The following is a 19,160-nucleotide window of genomic DNA, read 5'->3' as shown; positions in this document are numbered from 1 at the left end:
AGTGCGGGGGAGGTGGAGGGCTCTGCTGTGAGGGCGGCGGGGAGGTGGAGGGCTCTGCTGTGCCGGTGGTGGGGGAGGTGGAGGGCTCTGCTGTGCGGAGGGGGAAGGTGGAGGGCTCTGCTGTGCGCAGCGGCGAGGTGGAGGGTTCTGCTGTACGTGGGGGAGGTGGAGGGCTCTGCTGTGCGTGGGGGAGGTGGAGGGCTCTGCTGTGCGGGTGGGGGGAGGTGGAGGGCTCTGCTGTGCGGGTGGGGGGAGGTGGAGGTCTCTGCTGTGTGGGTAGAGGGGGAGGTGGAGGGCTCTGCTGTGCGGAGGGGGGAGGTGGAGGGCTCTGCTGTGCCGGTGGTGGGGGAGGTGGAGGGCTCTGCTGTGCCGGTGGTGGGGGAGGTGGAGGGCTCTGCTGTGCGCAGGGGGGAGGTGGAGGGTTCTGCTGTACGTGGGGGAGGTGGAGGGCTCTGCTGTGCGTGGGGGAGGTGGAGGGCTCTGCTGTGCGTGGGGGAGGTGGAGGGTTCTGCTGTGCTGGGGGAGGTGGAGGGCTCTGCTGTGCGGGTGGGGGGAGGTGGAGGGCTCTGCTGTGCGGGTGGGGGGAGGTGGAGGGCTCTGCTGTGCGGGTGGGGGGAGGTGGAGGGCTCTGCTGTGCGGGTAGAGGGGGAGGTGGAGGGCTCTGCTGTGCAGAGGGGGGAGGTGGAGGGCTCTGCTATCCCGGGGGGCCCCCCCGCAGGATTGCTGCACGCACGGCCTGAGAGAAGAAGCAGAGGCAAGGCTGACCCCCAGATGGGATTGCCGTTTCCGGACTTGCAAGGCTGCGGAGGAGCCGCTTGGAGGTGGTCAGTTTTGGACATGCTGGGTTTACCAGAGAGAGAGGAGGTCAGGGAGCCAGACTTAGAAACCGCAAACACAAACCCCAACAAGTAAAGAAAATGACACAAATTAAAGTTCACACTAGTCTGTGATGGAAAAACAGCAACTTCCTCACATTATCCCAAGCCAGAGGATCATGCCTTGTCTTCAGACGTCAGCAGAGTAAAACCGTTTTAACACCAGGAGTGGGGCCGGGTGCGGTGGCTCAGGCCTGTAATCCCAGCACTTTGGGAGGCCGAGGCGGGCGGATCACGAAGTCAGGAGATCGAGACCATCCTGGCCAACATGGTGAAACCCCGTCTCTACTAAAATTACAAAAATTTAGCTGGGCGTGGTGGTGCGTGCCTGTAAATCCCAGCTACTACGGAGTCTGAGGCAGGAAAATCCCTTGAACCAGGGAGTCGGAGGTTGCAGTGAGCCGAGAGCACGCCACTGCACTCCCGCCTAGCGACAGAGTGAGACTCCGTCTCAAAACAAAACAAAACAAAACAAAAAACCAAAAACACTGGGAGTCCCAGTTTGTAGGAAATCATTAAGATTTTATTATTTGAGCTCCAGAACGAGTGAGGATGACCTGATAATTTTGGTTTGGCTCAGGTTGTAATGTGTTTCTGTTTTGCTCGATGACTACTAGAACAGTTCTCAAACTGTGTGGTGGGTAAGAATCACCTGGGAACTTGACCAAGTGACATGTCTACACCACCCGCCCCTACAGGCTCTGATTGGGGGGCTGCTGTGGACCCAGGGGTTGGCATTCTTAAGTGCTCTCCTTGGTTCTGATTCTGACAACCCACCCAGCGCTTCAGAGGACAGCTGGACTAGATGTGCAGTCAGCGGCGAGGACCCTGAGCCCGGGGACGGGTGAGGTCCCAGCTAGAGGGAGGGGTTGGGGTCACTGGCATCTCCGGTGTTTAGAACCAAGAGCCTAGAGGAGGGGACCAGGCAGAGGGGCTGGTCCCACGTTGAGCCCTGGGTAGCCAAGCAGCTGGAGCCTACGGAGGCAAAAGGGGACAGTGAGGGAGGCTGAGGGCTCCGAGGCTGTCCCCACAGCTGGCAATGCAGCCCAAGGCAGGGCGGGCTCAAGCAAGAGGAGGCTGAGGGCCGGCCAGGCCCACGGGCAGCATCGGGCTCTGGTAGGTGCTCACGTAGTTTTTGGAGTTTGGGACAGTCCCTGAGGCTCATTATAAGCTCCTGTGTGGGGTCTGGGACCCCATTTTCCTTTTCTGATGGTCTTTCATTTTGGTGGGGACTGACGACAGACTCTAAAGACACCCTTTGCCCACCTCTAGAGTCTTAGCATTTCTTCCATTGACGGGATTTCCCACCAGCGCCCCGTAGCCACCCTGCGTATTCCATACCAGGATTCACTGGCCCAGGACGTGGAAGGACAGACTCTTCTGAAGTGGCTCCACATTTCATTGTCTCCTCACCTAGCTGAGACCTCAAAAATTCCAGAACATTCTACTTGTTTCACCTAGTTTAATTTTAAAGATCTTGGACTTTGAATTCCAGGTGGCAGACTGCCAGTTTGGAGGGCAAGTTGACAGTCTTGACTAAAATGGAATGTGTGCAAAAGGTAAGATAAGCACGTTACACCCCTTCACCCCATCATAAGCAATGACCAAAAAGACCAATCGTTTAAAAACAACAACAACAACAAAAAAACAAAACCAGAATGGAAAACAAGAAGGTGCCAGCAGCTCAGGAAATGGCGGAAGCCAAGAAACAGGATGACCCAAAGCCCCGGGCAGGCTGGACTGGACGTTTCCATGTTGAACCCAGTCCTTGGACCCACGAGCAATTCAGAGTGGCCGCGCCTCCGCCAGGGCAGGCCCTATCTGCTCCAAGGCAAAGAACGCCATGGGGCTTCCTTCCTTCCCCGCACCTGCTCAGCAGCCTTGGTTTTCTCATCTGTCCAGTGGAGCTAACAGTAGCACCTTTTGGGACTGTGAGGGTTAAATGAGCCTGGGGCAGGGGTTGGGGGAGGTGGTGAGTGTGTGTGTGTGTGTGTAAGAGAGCGAGCGAGAGAGACGCCAGCCGTTGTGATGATGTTAACATTCTCTGGGTCTACACCAGTGGCCCTTTCTGCCTGCATTTTTATTACAACATAGTCCTAACACTGCATTTCACTGTCAGGCACCTCCGTCCACTCCACTCCTGCGCACTCCTCCCGGCTGTGTCTCCTGTCTTTTTTGGGTCCCTTTTGGAAATGTGGGCTCCTCAGAGTATTTGGAGCCACCTTCCCCCCAACACCTCCACCTCTAGGGGCCTGGTCCTTTGGGAGTGGGCAGGGCCCTGGGGCACCCTGCTGGCCTCCAGAAGCTGTTGGGGAGATACGAGGGAAGTCTGAGGGGCAGCAGCGCTGGGTACAGGGCAACAGGCCCGAGCCGGGAGGCCCTTCCATGGGACCACAAGCGCCCACCCCGATTGACGACACTGCAGATGTGACCGAGGGCCAAGGACACTGCTCAGATGCCCTGAAGTGGGCAGGGGCAGCTCAGGAGCCTGCAGGGGTTGAGGGGGACAGAAACGCAAGAGGGAAGTGGCAGCCTGGCCACTCCTGACCACTGGGCCAGTGGGAGCGAGGCACGGACGTGGTAAGACGTCTGCTGTATTTGTGCCATTCCCGGTGATGCCCTGATGCCCACCTGTCACCACAGCCCTCTTGGGGCAGCAGATCACTAAGAGACAAGGATGCAAGAAAGTGGCTGCTGCTCCTGGCAAACCCGAGCTTCCCCTCAGAGCTGCTGGAGGCCAGAGGTGTGCCCCAGGGCCCTGCCTGGAGGGAGGTGTGCCCCAGGGCCCTGCCTGGAGGGAGGTGTGCCCCAGGGCCCTGCTTGGAGGTGGAGGTGCCCAGGGGCCTATGAAAAGCACCTAGCACCCACGGAAGACAATGACATCATGTGGGGCCAAGTCCGATGTCCTCCATCACACACTATTGCCCAGCTTCCATGGGCCTTGCAAGTTTAAGGGGAAAAAAAATGGGAAGCCATTTCTGAGAAAATCCACCCAGGACTCGCTCCGTCTGCACACTGGGGCGCTCCAGTTGGAGAATGAGGGTGTCGCAGGTTCCAGATTCAGGCTTTCGTGCCTTCGCGCGGCAGGGCAGCAGCAAGGCTGCATTAGGGTGGTGGCTTTGATCTGGCTGCACCCTGGAATTGCCTGCAGAGCTTTGTGAGGAACCACCCCTGACCGGCCACCCCAGAGACTGACTTGGTTTTGGTCTTGGGCGGATTCAGACACGGAAATCTTTAAAAACTCCGCGGGTGATTCTAAAGGCAGTCATGGCTGAGAGCCACCAGGCAAGGGTCTGAGATTGTGGAACCTTCCACATTCTCCAGCTAGGGAACGAGAGGCCGGGGCCCCGTTAGAGCTCTCCCAGCCTAGGAGAGGCTGATCTGGCCCAGAACCGCATCCTGACTCCAGGCCCGGGGCTCCCTTCCCTGCTGCCAGAGCTGACCAAGTGGAGGAGGAACCGCGGGGCCTGGAAGGGGCAGGTCTTCCTTTGAGTGCCTCATGGAAGGTGCCAGAACTCTCCCTCCTCCTGCCGTCCACTGCCCTACCCGCACTTCCTGCCTTGAGTCTACCAGGACTGCTGATGTCACACCCTTTGTCCCTGCTCATGACAGGCCCCCCAGGAGGGCCCTCTCCCCTATCTGGTCCCCACACAGCTCTCTAGTCCCATCCTCACCTGGCACAGCCACCTGGGGGGCCCAGCAACACCCTCTGGAACCTGGCTGACTGAGCCCACTCTCAACCCATGACTGCTGTGGGGCCGACAGCTCCCTGCAAGCCCTCTGACATCGCAGAACCATCCCTGCAGGACTTGGTGGCCTAAACGTTTGTTTTGCTGGGGAACCTGTAGTTTGGCCAGGGCTTGGCAGGGACGGCTCCTATCTGCTCCGCTTGGCACCACCAGGTCAGCCCAAAGGTTGGGGTGGGCCATCTGAAGCCTTGCTCACTGGCCATGGGTGCTGCTGGTGCACAGCTGGGCACCTGGGCACCACTGTCTCCGTCTGGTCTTGCCACATGGTCTCTTCAGCATGGAGGCTTCAAAGGAGCAATATTTTTTTTCTTTAATTGAGGTGAAATTCACAGAACGTAAAATTCACCATTTAAAATGAACAATTCGGTGGCATTCGGCACATCATGGTGTTGTGCAACCACCACTTCCCAGAAGGGATCCCCACACCCATTGGGCAGTTGCTCTTATCCTCTCCTCCCCCAGCTCCTGGTGCCAGCCCACCTGCTGTCTGTCTCTGCCGCGCTCCCCACCCTGCTGTTGCATGTACACGGAACCACACGTTCACCTTCGTGGCTGGCTCCTTTCACTTTGCAGAATGTTTCCGAGGTTCACCTGGGCTGCCGCTCGGGTCAGCACTTTCCTTCGTTTATGGCTGAACTGCGGGGCTGCATCAGGCTTTGTGTATCCTTCGGCCCCCTGACGGACACTTGGGTTGTTTCTACTTTGGGTTGTCATGAACAGGGCTGCCTGGAACATGGGAGGACTTGTGTGAGTCCCAGCTTTCAGCTCTCTCTCGTGTATGCCTAGCAGTGGCATTGCTGGGTCACGTGGTGATTCCTTTTGGAGTTTTTGACAAGCCAGCAGAGGGTCTACCACAGCGGCTGTGCCGTTTCACATTCCCGCCAGCGACACGCAAGCGTTCCAGCCTCTCCACATCCTCGCTGGCACTTTCCACTCTTCGATTATCGCCAGCCTTCTGATGTGAATAGCCAGACTTCTTGCGCGCCAGCCCGTGTTAAGGCTCATGTCGCCTGAGAGCGCCAGATGGGTCTTCTCACGCGACTTTCAGATGTGGCCTCATGGACGGGAAGGTCACCTCCACCACACGCGCTCCTGCCCGTGTCCAAGGGGAGAGGCTCCGCTTTTCCACGGGAGGAGCGCCAGAATTGAGGGAAAGAACATGTTTAACAATCACGACATCTCCACAACATTTCTCATTCGCTCTCTGACCAGTGCCACTCAACGTGTCATCTCGTCACAAGACAAGGAGCTTATACCAGAAGAGACATCAGCATGCTGCCCCTTCGTCAGGACAGTCTTGTCAGCTGACCCAACTGCGCTGCCTCTCAGGGTCCTGGGACACAGCGGAAGACCCCAGGTACTCTGAGCCTCCCCCAGGTTACGCAGGGCCGGAAGTTTATACAGTTTGGGAGCCCCCCTTTAAGAAAAAGAGTAAAAATTCTGACTCCCAAATTAGGTACAACATGGGAAAAGAATTCCCAACAAATTACACGTTTTAAAGTCAACAAACACCCAGATGTCTGCAGTTCACCCTCACTGGTGGTGACACATCTGTCACATTTTGTTCCTACTTTGCTTGGCTGTGTCCTCTTTCATCACCCTTTCCCATGATAATGATCTTGTAATATCATGTAGGAATAGAAAGATTCCTCAATCTTTCCTTGAGCATGGTCGATCTCTGTTTTGAATTATTGATACTTTAGAAAAGTTTCTGTCATCTTCACAACTCTTATTGGCATAGTCATGTAAATTTTTAGAACTGTCATCAAATGTGGGGCAACTGTTACCAAGTTTCTTTCATATCTGAGCTGTAAGATTCTAGAACACCCCCAGCATTCCTAAACTCATCTTTAATGCTCTGACAGGAGTGTGGTGCGCTTCTGATTGTGCGGCACTGTCGAGCGTGTTCCTAAGAGCGAATGTCTGTATCGAGCAGGTATTGATGAGAATCAAGTCTTCCTGGTTTATATTCACACACCTGCTGGTGGGAAGAATTTTCCACAGACTTCCGGCTCCACATATATCAAGCCTCATCTCTCCTCCACAACCGGTACTCCCTGTTCCAGGTCCCGTAGGACACGTTCCTATCACAGTACAACCGTGGCCTTGCTCCTTCTGGTTACGACACCAGGTGTCAGGCAATGGACAAGAAGCATGTTCTTGAAGCCAGCCCTACCCCAGGATGACTGGCAATGACCTACTAAATGCAGAAGTGACTGTGAACGCACAAATATATCCCACTAACCTCAAACGAATCGTGTCCCTAACTCTGCTTACCCTTAGCCAGAACCCAAAAGTACCATGTGGCCTCAACATCACCCAACAGAACAGGAAGTGTGAAGGAAGGGAAGTTAGAATGGAAGGAGGGAATGGTTTTAACCAACTGCAGTTAAAGTATCTCACTTTTGCAAATTTTATAAAATCTTGGGAACATGCAAACACATTGCCGAGGCCCAATCACGAGTGAGGGGCCTCAAGCTAAGGCTTTGTCTCCCGGTAAATCCATGCCAGTGCCCCACCAAACTGTTGCTACCCCCTCACCCAACCTCACTCACTCCTCACGACCCTGTTCCATATGTCCGTGAGAACACAGAGCAGAAGGATACCACCCCCGCTTGCCTGCCCTGTGCCCACACCTGCCACCCTGCGCTCTACACCCCATCATGGGCATCGATCCCAAATTTCTCCCTCGCTACGGGATCATTCCAACAGCATAAAAACATGCAGCAACTTCTCCTTATTCAAAAGTAAACTCCCTCGCCCCCACATCCACTCTCCTGCCCATTTGCTTCCATTGTAGCAAAACTGCTTGAAGAAGAGGTCCAGCTGGGCAACCTTTCCAGTCTCCCTCCCCAGGAATTGGTCCCCAGCGCCGGGACGGTTGGTGCCTGGGCAGCAGCTCACAGAAGTGGCCACTCCCTGCTCCTCGAAATGCTCCTTTCCCCGCCTGGCTTCTGGGACTCCCATCTTTCTGTCTCTTCCTGCTTTGCTGGCAGCTTCTTCTAGGTCTCCTCTGCAGGTTCCTCCGTCCCTCTGGATGGCATCCCCAGGCACAGCCTCCATCCGTCTCTTCTACATTTACACTCCCTTCTTTGGTGTCCTTGGCCCAGCTTGTGGCTTTAAATACTAGCTCTATGCAGGTGACTCGAAACTGTGTATCTCATTTGTACACCGACATCCACAGCAGCCTCATTCACAGTAACTACAACATGGAAGCAACCCCAGTGCCCACTGACAAAGGGGTGGGCAAGCACGTGTGTTTCATCATACGGTGCAGTAGCATCCACCTTAAGAAGGACACAGACATATCTACCATGTGGATGAGCCCGGAGGACATCGTGCTGGGTGAAATCGGCCAGACACAAACAGACGAGTACTGTATGATTCCACTTCCAGTTCTGGAGATGGACGGTGGCAATGGTTGCACCACATTATGAATAGATTGAATAATACTAAACTGTACACTTAAAGATGGTTCAGAAGGGAAACTGCGTGTTCTGCATATTTTACTACCATAAAAATTATTGGGGAAAAATGCCCATCTCCAGCCAGGACCTCTCCACTGAGCCCTGGAACTGTGTATCCAGGCACCACCTCCCCAACCCCCCAGCCCCGCCACACACACACACACACACACACACACACACACATTCTAGCTGGGTGTCTCGTCTACACCTCAGCCGTCTGCTCTCATCCCACCCCCTTCACGCTCCTGCCTGTCGTTCATTAACGGCATCTCTATCTTTCCAGCGGCTCACACTCCAAACTAGAAATTGTCTATAGTTCCTCTCTTCTCTCACCCACACCCAGCCTATCGGCGACTCCTGCTATCTCCATCCTCAAAAATCAGTCCAGGATCTTGCTCTTCTCACCACCTCCCTGCCACCTTGGAGCACTGAGCCTTCCTGCTGGCCTCCCGGACCAGCCAGCCGGTCCTCTGGTCTGTGTACCTCCCTCACTCCCTGCAGGCTGTTCCTCGCACAGTGGCAGCCTGACCGAACCCCCAAGCGGCAGGCAGGGCCCTCCATGCCCATCGCAGACAAAGACCCTCAGACCCTATGCTTCTCCCCCTGCTCCCTTCCCCCTGCGTATCGTGTATGCCTGTCACCCCTCTAATATTCTTTGCACTGCCCTTATTTTGTTCCCTATAGCTGTAGTTTGGGTCACCATCATATCCCCAGTGTCTGGGATGCTGCCTGGCATATAGCAGGTGTTGAATGAAGGTCACCCTAGCCAGGGCTGTGGGCTGGAAGATGCCCCTAATGGGGCTGCCACGGTGCAGACCCAGAGCTTTACCTCTGGGGTCTATGTCTTGGTCCCCACCCCCACCCCGAACTTGGGCACCTTGTCATACACAGCAGATCCCTCTCCTCCTAGTCTGGGAGTCCCTCCTCTTCAGCTCCTCCTGGTGTTTGGTGGATGTGGGCCTGAGGACTCCAGAGACACTCCAGCTCCCTGTCAGCAAGTTCTCCCATCGAACCCTGTGATGTGTGCCCCAGGCCCCTTCAACTGCACTCCTCACTGCTAGGATTGATAGAGCTGCCTGGAAGAGGTGGCCAGGAGGGGAGCCTGAGGTGTGGGGTCCTTCCAGGTCGAAAACTCAAAAGGCCTTTTATTAGGTCCCGGGTCTGGGGTGCTCTCATCTGCCAACAATTCAATCACCTAACCCTGTGGGACGCTCCAGAGGGTGTGCAGCGGGAGGGCCAGGCCTGGGCCCAGCACGCACTCGGTGTTGCCATCTTCCTGCTCCAGGCACTTTTTCCATCCCAGGCTCTCCAGTGACGGGCAGGAAACACCCTTCTGTGTTTCTGTGTGAATTTGGGCACAGCATTTAAGCCAAAGGAAAGGTGACATTCCATCTGTCTGCCCAGCCAAACATCTGGGTTGCTGGATGGCATACCACAGAAGCCCGGAGATAGGAACTTCCAGGCTGACCTGAAGGGAGTGAATTTGACTACTCTAGGTACCTCCAAGTGGAATCACACAGGATCAAGGGAGAGTTTTTCAGGTGTTTGGCGCACAGTAGGTGCTCAATGAACCAGGGCAACTTTTCCCAAGGTGTGCTGATTAAGAAAAGTTTTTTTGGTAACAAATAAGCTTGGTGTTGCCACAGCCACCTTTCCCAGGGTTTTTAAATTAAAAAAAAAAATACATATATATGTTTAGATATGGGCTCTCAGGCTGTTGCCCATGCTGGAGTGCAGTGGTGCAATCCTAGCTCACTGCAGCCTCCAACTCTGGGCTCAAGTGATCCTCCCGCCTCCACCTCCTGAGTAGCTGGGACTATCAGGCGTGTACCACCACCCGCTCCCCGCAGCAATTAAATTTTTTTTTTTTTTTTTGCATCACATGCCACATGCAGGGTTTGAAAAGAAAAAAAAAATATTTTTTCGTAGAGATGAGGTCTCACCATGTTGCCTGGTCTCGAACTCCTGGACTCAAGGGATCTTCCCACCTTGGCCTCCCAAAGTGCTGGCATTATAAGCTCAAGCCACCGCCCTCAGCCTTCAGGGTTTTAAACATGTGCTGTGTTGTGATGTGCCAGCTGCCTGCATCTTCCAAAGCAGCTCTGATCAAAACCAACACTCTATGTTGCATCTCAGAGACCTGAACTCCCTGAAACCCACTTTCAGAGAACAGTAAGGCAGGTTTCTGAGGACTTGGCCCCTCAGTTCCCAGGAAGGGCTTCCATCATTCCCTTATTAAAGCATTTCAATTTTTCAATCAATGTTATATGTTTAACTGTAGTCGTAAATATAAGGCCTACTGCATTCCTATCTCCTACCCCAAAGAAAACCAATTTTAACTTCTAAGCTTTTTCCTCCTCTTTTACCTCCATATTTCTAAATAACATACTACTCTCAAGTTTTCAGCTTTGGACATCCTTTGTTGATTTCCTGCTAAGAACAAGAACTTGGCTCTCTTATCCTCTGCCACCAATACACAGGCACATTCTTTCCCTCTCCCAGTCTCCTACTGAGATCCAGCATATATTTTTACCAGAGCAATATTCACTAGTATTTGTGTTTACATTATTTGTACGTAAATATTATTCACAGCTGAGTCACACAGGGTCTGCAGCTCCTCTTCCTGTGTATTTCTGCTTAGGCATTAATACACTGTTATTACTTGCTTAATTGTCTGTATCTGTCTCTGATTCTTAGACCTTCTCCAAGCCCTCTGACAGGACCCAGTGCTGACAAGATATGGGGCCACCTCGCAGGCCTCGAGCTGTGTGCTGAGTTCCCCCAGAGCCCGCCCCAGGTCCCAAGTCTCCATGTCTTTCTCCGATCACTCCTCCCTCACTGCAGCCTTCCCCCATGTAGTTGCGAGAATGGCTGCTGAGGAAATCAGGTTTTGAGACTCCTGCAGACTTCTCTTGGGTATCTGTGTTACTGTTGTGCCCATCTGGGGCCCTCTCTCTTGGAGACCCCCTTCTTGGGGCTAGAGGGGCTGCTCACAGCTCCCTGAATGTGCTGCTGATGGCTCCCTTGAAGACCACGGCCCACTCCCACCCATGGTTTCCTGTTTCTCACGCCACCCAGCAGGAAGGTTTCTGCTTGTCTTCCCACCATCCCCTCTTCTTGCTGTGGACTGTTGTTGGCATAACAACAGTTATGTTGTTGCTGTGGACTGTTGCTCTGTGAAGCAATCAGGAAGGAGCTGACGCAGACCCAGTTCCTGTGGACCAGTGGGCAGAGCACAGCCCACTGCTCCCTGCAGGCCCGCCTCACACCCAGGCCACCAAGGCCCTCTCTTGCCCTTTGCCCCCGTGCTTGTTCATCGCCACTGGGCCTCTGATTTCCTCTGAGGATTTTCATCACGCTCATGACAACTATGCGGTCAATATCTCTGTCCTAAAAGAAGTGGGGACAGGTCCCACTCCTGTGCCTCGCCCCTGCCCTGCCAAATGTTTTTTGAACATTTAAAAATGTAGTTAAGTTCATCCTATACACCAAAGAGTGCCACAGCACACACCTCCTCCAAGCCAGCCTTTGGGAGCCTTCGTCATCCATCCTGGAGGCCCTTCCTAGGGTGGGGTTCGGGTCTAGGGCATGCTGCCTTCCCTCAGGACCCAGCACCCACCCCACCCACGCCTGGGGCCCTCAGGGCTGGGGCTCGTTTTCTGATCCCCCCCAGTGTGTAACCTCCTGGCTGCTGGCACAGGCTTGGCCCTGCAGACCCACCTTTACCCCAAGGCCAGTCCCGCAGCTTCCCAGGGCAGAGGCTCCCAACAGAAAGCAAGGAAGCGGCTGTTTAGCCTGGACACTAACTGGACGAGTGCCTCCAAGTACTGCAGACGGTCTCTGCACACAGGCCCCCATCTCTTTCCAGCCCTGGCCAGGGAGATGGGTCAGTTTTCCCAGCAACCCAGGGGGCACTTAGGAGAAGGGGTGAAACAAGAAAACCAAACTTTCATACGATTGGTTTAATTTTTTTTTTCAGCAGGAGAAAAAAGAATAAAGTTACAAGATTCTTTTAATATTTTCACAATGTTAAAACTAAAACTGAGCTCTAGGCTATGTGTGTAAGTAAATCTAGAACACAAAAGGGTTAAATAAGATTTTCTCTTTTAAAGATACAAGAATTTAAGCTTTCCTTACATTTAACAAACTTCACAGAACAGATACTGCAGGGGAACAAGCCCCACCCCCCACCCCCCCCAGCTCTAAGTCAGGAAGCGAACATGGGCTTCGCTCCCCCAGGCCAGCTCCCCTGGGCTCCTTCCCATGGCTGCCTCCACGCAGCAGGCAGAGGAGGGGGCGGGGGGCCCTGGGGAGGGCCGGGAAGGGCTCGCACAGCCTCTTCGGGACCAGAGCTTGGCGGAAGCCTATGGGGGGCTGCCTCACTGAGGATGGCCCGTATGGTGGCCAAGGGCTGTGGCTTGACAGCAGTGGTAAACGCTGGGCAGACCTGGCCCCTCTGCCCTGGGTTGCCCTAGAGCAAGACACCGGTCTGGGTCCTGAAGCAAGAATTAAGGCTGGGGATTTTGCAGCGGGTTCCACTCTGGTGGGTGGAGGGTGGGAAGAGCATGACTTCCTATTTCAGTACGTCGGATCAAAAAACATTTGCAGTTGCAGGTGTTCAGCTGTTAATTTGCAGACAGAGTTGAACCATTTGTTGTTTTATAAAAAGGAAAGTTGCTGGGTTAAACTATTCCAGTAGCCTATGTGTGGGCAGATCCACGCTGCCTCCGCAGGGGCCTCCTGCCCTCACCCACCTGGATCTGATGCGGCACTAGGACCACTGGGACTGCTCACCCTGCCTGGGCTTTCAAGGGAATCCTGATCCTGTCCACCCAGCCCCAGCCCCACCTGACTGGTAGTGATTTCCTAACATGGGGCAACCAGGCCCACCCCCACCCTTCCCCACCTGGCGTGCGCAGTTGCAGCTGCTGAAATCCTCTGTGAACATGAGGGGGCACAGGTGGAGAAATGTACCCTCAGGCCCTCACCTACCAGAGCAAATATCACTCTCGGAGCTGGGCCACAGCCACAAACCGCTGTTCTAGACAGATCCAAACCCACTGTCCCTGGGACGTATGCTGCCTTCCCTTACTAAACTTGCTATATGGTAGATGTGGACTGGGTGTCCTTGGACTATGGGGCTGCATAGAAACGAGAATGGAGGCCACGACATCATCCTCTTGGCCCCTGGAGGCACGGGCGGCTCCAGCTGGAAGGGGCAGAGCCCGTGGGCGGCAGCTTCCCCAGCTGCTGCTCCCAGCACTTCTACTGATTCTTGTTGGCTATGAAATGTCTTTTTAAAAAACTCCCAATATAGAAATCTGGCTGCAGAGGCCAGTGTGCAGACCCAGCCACCGCGCTGTGCTGCCATTCGCCACATCTGGTCCGTGCCAGATCCCTGCACTGGCGAATGGCAGACCAGAGCCGGCGGAGGCGGGGCACTCTGGCTGCTTCTCGTGACCTTGGATCCTGTGTAGAAAAGGCGGGTCTCGTTCGTGGACTAGTCTTGAGTGGAGCTAATTTTCAAAGTGAGGTTACTGTTTCTCTTCTTGTGTGATGAGTTTTTTCATAGCAAGTCAGGTAAAAAAATTTCCGTAAGAATCTGTCCCCCACCCCCCATTTCCAGCTCTGTGGGAGAGTGAGGCCACCACCCAGCCCAGCCACGTGGCCAATCTCAGCAGCCTCCCGTGGCCAAGGCACACGTGGCCATCAGGTATCCTGGCTACTGGGACTAAGGATAAGTGAAGAGGTGAAAGGCCGATCATTAAACAGAGTTTCTGGCAAAGCCATGTGCGTCGTGGGAACTTTAACACCAGCTTCTACTCCTCTATTAACTCAGAGTCTCCGTCTGGAACACTTTCCACTTAAGGCTTTTTATAAGTTTGACTCCAGCAGTGACAGGTATGTGTTGTTTTAAATCCACTAGCCATGCTCAAAAAAAAAATATTCTTCATGTTTTAATTTTATACAATGGCTAGCAGGCACCTTAGTAACCAGCCAGAAATCAATTTCAACCACCATCAACCCCTAAACTACAGTACCAGGATGGCTGGCTAAAGAAAGGAAACGGACTGGCTGCAGTCTGACGCGTGCCCAGTACAAGGTGTCTGGCTGACTTTGTCCTAAATAAGGCTAACATTAGTGAACTAAGAACAGCGTCACGTGGTGGCCATGCCTGGCCTTCAGGAGCACCCCTCCCCGATGCGCTGGCAGGAGCGCCCCACTTTCCGGTCCAGCTTCACCATTTTCATGATGGCTTCCTCCCGGCCACGGCCCATGTGGTCGAATGTGCAGTCGTGCTGCTCGGGGAGGCGATGTAACATACAGAACACATAACCTGCAGCAGCGGGAGAAGCAGAGGAAAGAGTGTGTTAGGGTGGCCTCCAAGTGCGCAGAGCCTCACAATTGCCTTTGTCCAGAGGATGGAGGGGCATCCCAGTGAGTGGACAACACTCACTGCAGGGGTTCCTGATGCAGCAGAGAGCTCACTCCAACACCTGCACCCTGGAGCAAGAGGGTCAGCACTTTGCATTCCACAGCTGCTCAAGCCTGTCCCTGCCTGGACCCTTGAAGGGTAGAACCCTAAGTTGATGGCTGCGAGACACAGCCCTGTCCTTGCAAATGAGTGGGCTCTGCGCTCCTCTCCAGCACCATGCAGGCGGAAGAGCACAGGCTGTCAGCTCAGCTCTCTGCTTGGCTCGGGCAAACTGTGATTTCCACCACAGGATGCCCACCATTTCTAGGAGGCAGGAGAAATGATTATGTCTTAAATGACATTCCACCTCCTGTACAGCCGGGGCTTGAGAGGATGGTGGGAGTGATCAAACCACAACCCAAAAATGAGTGGGAGCTCTCAAAGGAAAGTGGATTATTTCTAGTGCTAGAAAAAGTATTAGATAGAAACAGAGGAGACAGCAATGCTGGGCTCCAATCGCCATCTCCAAGGAATCTGACACTTCTAACTGCACTGGGTAGGTGAGAGAGGTTGAGATGCCCACACTCGGGCCCCCAGCTGTCCTTCCCTCCACTGGGTAGGTGAGAGAGGTTGAGATGCCCACACTCGGACCCCCAGCTGTCCTTCACTCCACTGGGTAGGTGAGAGAGGTTGAGATGCCCACACTCGGACCCCCAGCTGTCCTTCACTCCACTGGGTAGGTGAGAGAGGTTGAGATGCCCACACTCAGGCCTCCAGCTGTCTTTCCCTCCCAGAAGCGCAGGATGCTGCAAGGCTCTTTTTGAAGCAGAGAAATCCAAGGGAGACACTGGTCTGGCAAATAAGAGAAAAAGACCAGTGATGAAAGATCAAGAGGCCTATCGAGCAGGGAGCCGGTACAGGTAAAGTCACTCTGGGTCAGGAACAAGGAGGGGAGGGCTGCAGGGAGCCAGGAGCCAGGCTCAGAGAACTCAGGGCGCAGCTGCACCGGGGTGTCTCCCATTCCCTCCAGCTTCCCAGGCAATCTCTAGAGCGGCCGATACGCATGTGGAGCACAGACGTCTGAGGTCCCCAGAGTCTGCTGGCCGCCTCTTTCAAAACGCTGGGGAGAACAAGATCAGGGCTAGGAAGACACCTGCCAGTGCTGGCTGGCTCCTCATCACCTTCTCATCCCATCAGCATTATCTCACCACACCTCCAGGCCCCGTGGGCCTGGATCAGGTCCACAGGAGCAAGCTTCCAGGTAAATCTAGATCCATTCCTAAACCTGTTCTCCCTGTCTGGAGCAGGCATCCCACAGCAGCCTGCCCAAGCAAACACTCTCCTTACTTGTTTTCCAACCAACAGCATCTCTTTTCAGACTTCTTTCTTTTAAGCCCTCATCCAGGCCATAAAGAACAGGCAGCCACCCCTTGCAAACTGACTCATCCCTCCTCACATCCTCAACTTCTTTTCAGAGATGTAGAGGCTGTGCTTTTAGAAGAACAGCAAGAGCCCAAGCAAGGACGAAGTGGCCACAGGATGAAGAGTTTCAACAGCCTTAAGATTTAAGGTTAAGATTCAATAGCCTTAACTTCTAAGATTAACTTCACCTATATTCCTCAGCCTGAGGGAAGAAAAGTGTGTGATGTACTCAATGGCTGGGGACTAACCAGTCTCAAGGATGTAGCTGGCACTCACACCCTACTAGGAAGTCTTGAGCCCAGGCTGTGTGCAAGGGACATGTACACAGCCTAGGGGGCTGGAGTGACCCAGCTGAGCTTGGGCCATCCATTGTGTGAGGAAACATTATTAACTGCTTCCCAGGGAGAGCAGGGCAGTATGTTTGACTCTAAATTGGGATTGGGTTTAAGGAAAAGAACAGAGATGCAATTTCTGTCTCCCGAGAAGCCGAGCTCCCACTTGGTCCAAAAGCAAAGTTAAGATTAATGAGCTCATGTGTTACATTTACTGATAAGTTCATTACTCGAAGATATTGGATACCAGTTGTCTTTCTCCTAAAGGATTTTGCAGCAGAGGCATGGATGGCCTCAATATGCATCCTCCATCTAACAAGTAAATTCATCTTTTTGTAGCAAAGCCTACCTGGTGAGGGAGAACCTGCTGCCAGTCAGGGCTTAGGGTAGGGGCACCAGCAGGATGGCATCAGGATGTGTCTATAGACATTTTTGTCACCAAGTCCTGACATACTTCTGTACTTTCAGCATCTATAATAAGGGGTGGGTGGACCCCTGCTGCCCCTTCCCTTTCTTCAAGATATTGGGATGATTCAGAAGGTCCCAAGGGCTCTCCTCTCTTTCTGATGAATGGTGCTGGCTGAATAAAAGCAGCAGGAAATGGATTACTGCTGGAATTAACTTGGCTCCTGGCTCAGCTTAACACCTCATTAGTCAAAGATGGACTGGGGTGGAAGGGAAATGCTACATCTGGCCCCCCTTCTCCATGTTTGCTTAGCTTGCCTTCCGCCAGCTAGTGAGCAGCCAGCTTGGTGGATGTGAGAGCCCCAGGACTCTGGAAAAAGGAACAGGGAGTGACACCCACAGTAGCTACCCTGATATTCCCTCTACCGCCCAAGGAGTAGCTACCTGATACTCCCTCTACCCTCTATCACAGTAGCTACCCTGACATTCCCTCTACCAGCCCAAAACACCTTATTTCTCTGCCCAGGTTCTGTGTACCTGTTAGACACATCTTGACACTTGGCTTAGGTTTTTTTTTTTTTTTTTTTGAGACAGGGTCTTGCTCTGTCACCAGGCTGGAGCGCTGTGGTGCGATCCTAGCTCACTGCAGCCTCAACCTTCTGGGCTCAAGAGGTCTTCCTGCTTCAGCCTCCCCAGTAGCGCAACTACAAGCACACATCACCACACCTAGCTGTTTTTTTATACTTTATTTTTGTAGAGACAAGGTCTCACTATGTTGCCCAGGCTGGTCTCACACTCCTGGCTTCAAGCATTCCTCCCGCCTTGACCTTTCCAAGTGCTGGATTGCTGGGATTAGAAGGCACCCTCTAATCCCAGCACTTTGAGAGGCCAAGGCAGGAGGAATGCTTTCAAAAATCCACGCCCAGCCAGCTTGCATTTTTGAAAGGTAAAAACTATTAAACAGCAGATAGATTTTGGGAGCAGCGCTGGTAGCAATGAGAATATATGGCACTGTAATTCACTGGAGAAAACTTTGGGGGAAACTCTGGAGGGCTAACTTCCCAAGTAGCTGCACTGAGGTTATTAGATGGCATAAATTAAGCTCAATTCTTTCTCCTGTCAGGATCATTCACTAAGAGGAAGTTATGTCTGGAACTTGTCCCAAATGCTGAGCAGGTATTATCTACCGACAGCAGCCAATGGTGAAATGCATTTTGGTGTCAGAAGGGGGTTGTCCTGGATACAGGGGATGGCGGGTAGAGGTGCATGGGAATGACTGGTGGATGGGATGAATCTTTATCCTCTTTTCTTGGTACTCACAGATCTGTTTCCAGAAACCACTACAAGTGTCATGAACCTTGGGTTGCTCTCTGATTGAATTCTGGGATCCAAGCTGGGTAAGGAGAGAGATGAGTCCAGGCTGCTACAGAAGATTATTTTCCATAATTTCAATATGAGCAGTTTTAAAACACAGAGGATTTATAGTCATGTTAGCTAGGCCAGCCTTAACACTTCCTCTACCTCATTTCTTAGAAACCAACAAGGGCCTTTCCAGAGAGGGCCAAGGACGGTGGCATCCAGAAGGGATGAAAACACTGAGTACACAGAACTGACCTGCTGAACTACGACAGCAGCTCTGGTATTATTACCCAGGGTAGCATGTAATTCTTTTTTCCCCAGATTTTAAAAAGTTATATATTAAAATCAAATTCAAATAAAGCCATATATTCACAGCCGGCTGATCTTTGACAAAGCCAATGAGAACTTACACTGGGAAGAGGAAATCCTCTTCAATAAATGGTGCTCAGAGAATTGGCCTGCTACATGCAGAAGAGTGAGACTGGACCCCTATCTTTCACCACACACAAAAATCAACTCAAAATGGACTCAAGACTTCAACTCAAGACCTGAAACTGTAAGAATACTACAAGAAAACCTAGGGAAAACTCTTATGGACATTGATCTAGGCAAAGAATTTATGACTAAGACCTCAAAAGCACAGGCAACAAAAACAAAAATAGACAAATGAGACTTAACTAAATTAAAAGCTTCTGCACAGCAAAGGAAATAATCAAACAGGTAAAGAGAAAACCTGCCAAATGGGAAAAAATATCTGCAAATCACTCATCTGACAGGGGACTATATCCAGAGTACATAAGGTACTTAACAGGAAAAAAAAAATCCTATTAAAAACTGGCAAAGGACATGAATAGACAATTATCAAAAGAAGATGTACAGTCAATAGGTGAATAAAAAATACTCAACATCATTAATCATCAGAGAAATACAAATCAAAACCACAATGAGATATCTTACCCCAGTCAGTATGGCTATTGTTAAAAAGACAAAAAAATAACAGATCCTGGCGAGGATGCAGAGAAAAGGACTCCCACTGTTGGTGGGAATGTCAACTAGGAAAGCCACTATAGAAACCGCTATGGAAATTTCTCAAAAAACTAAGAATTATCATTTGATCCAGCAATCCCACCACAGGG

At 52.6% G+C, this 19,160-nt stretch overlaps 1 protein-coding gene across 4 annotated transcripts in view, besides 2 other annotated features; it reads right to left on the bottom strand.

Annotated features, from left to right (window-relative positions):
- Positions 4,003-4,971: an enhancer, noted in NCBI's record as "H3K4me1 hESC enhancer chr6:38129468-38130436 (GRCh37/hg19 assembly coordinates)". NCBI's record gives its function as "activates a minimal SCP1, AML or CMV promoter by ChIP-STARR-seq in primed H9 embryonic stem cells {active_cell/tissue: H9 hESC(primed)}" and the evidence as "EXISTENCE:reporter gene assay evidence [ECO:0000049][PMID:30033119]".
- The window catches only part of ZFAND3 (zinc finger AN1-type containing 3), a 334,898-nt gene continuing 327,776 nt past the window's right edge, over positions 12,039-19,160 (bottom strand). For all 4 annotated transcript variants that reach the window (NM_021943.3, XM_011514790.3, NM_001410904.1 and 1 more), the window contains one exon: positions 12,039-14,428. In NM_021943.3, coding sequence (NP_068762.1) covers positions 14,274-14,428 — 155 coding nt within the window. In that variant the 3' untranslated portion in view covers positions 12,039-14,273. The remainder of the gene's footprint in view (positions 14,429-19,160) is intronic.
- Positions 13,006-13,626: an enhancer, noted in NCBI's record as "H3K4me1 hESC enhancer chr6:38120813-38121433 (GRCh37/hg19 assembly coordinates)". NCBI's record gives its function as "activates a minimal SCP1, AML or CMV promoter by ChIP-STARR-seq in primed H9 embryonic stem cells {active_cell/tissue: H9 hESC(primed)}" and the evidence as "EXISTENCE:reporter gene assay evidence [ECO:0000049][PMID:30033119]".

Source organism: Homo sapiens, chromosome 6 (genome assembly GCF_000001405.40).
Source record: "Homo sapiens chromosome 6, GRCh38.p14 Primary Assembly".
In the NCBI taxonomy this organism is placed as follows: Eukaryota; Metazoa; Chordata; class Mammalia; order Primates; family Hominidae; genus Homo; species Homo sapiens.
The sequence above is the reverse complement of the archived record's forward strand: the minus strand, read 5'-3'. Positions and strand labels throughout refer to the sequence as shown.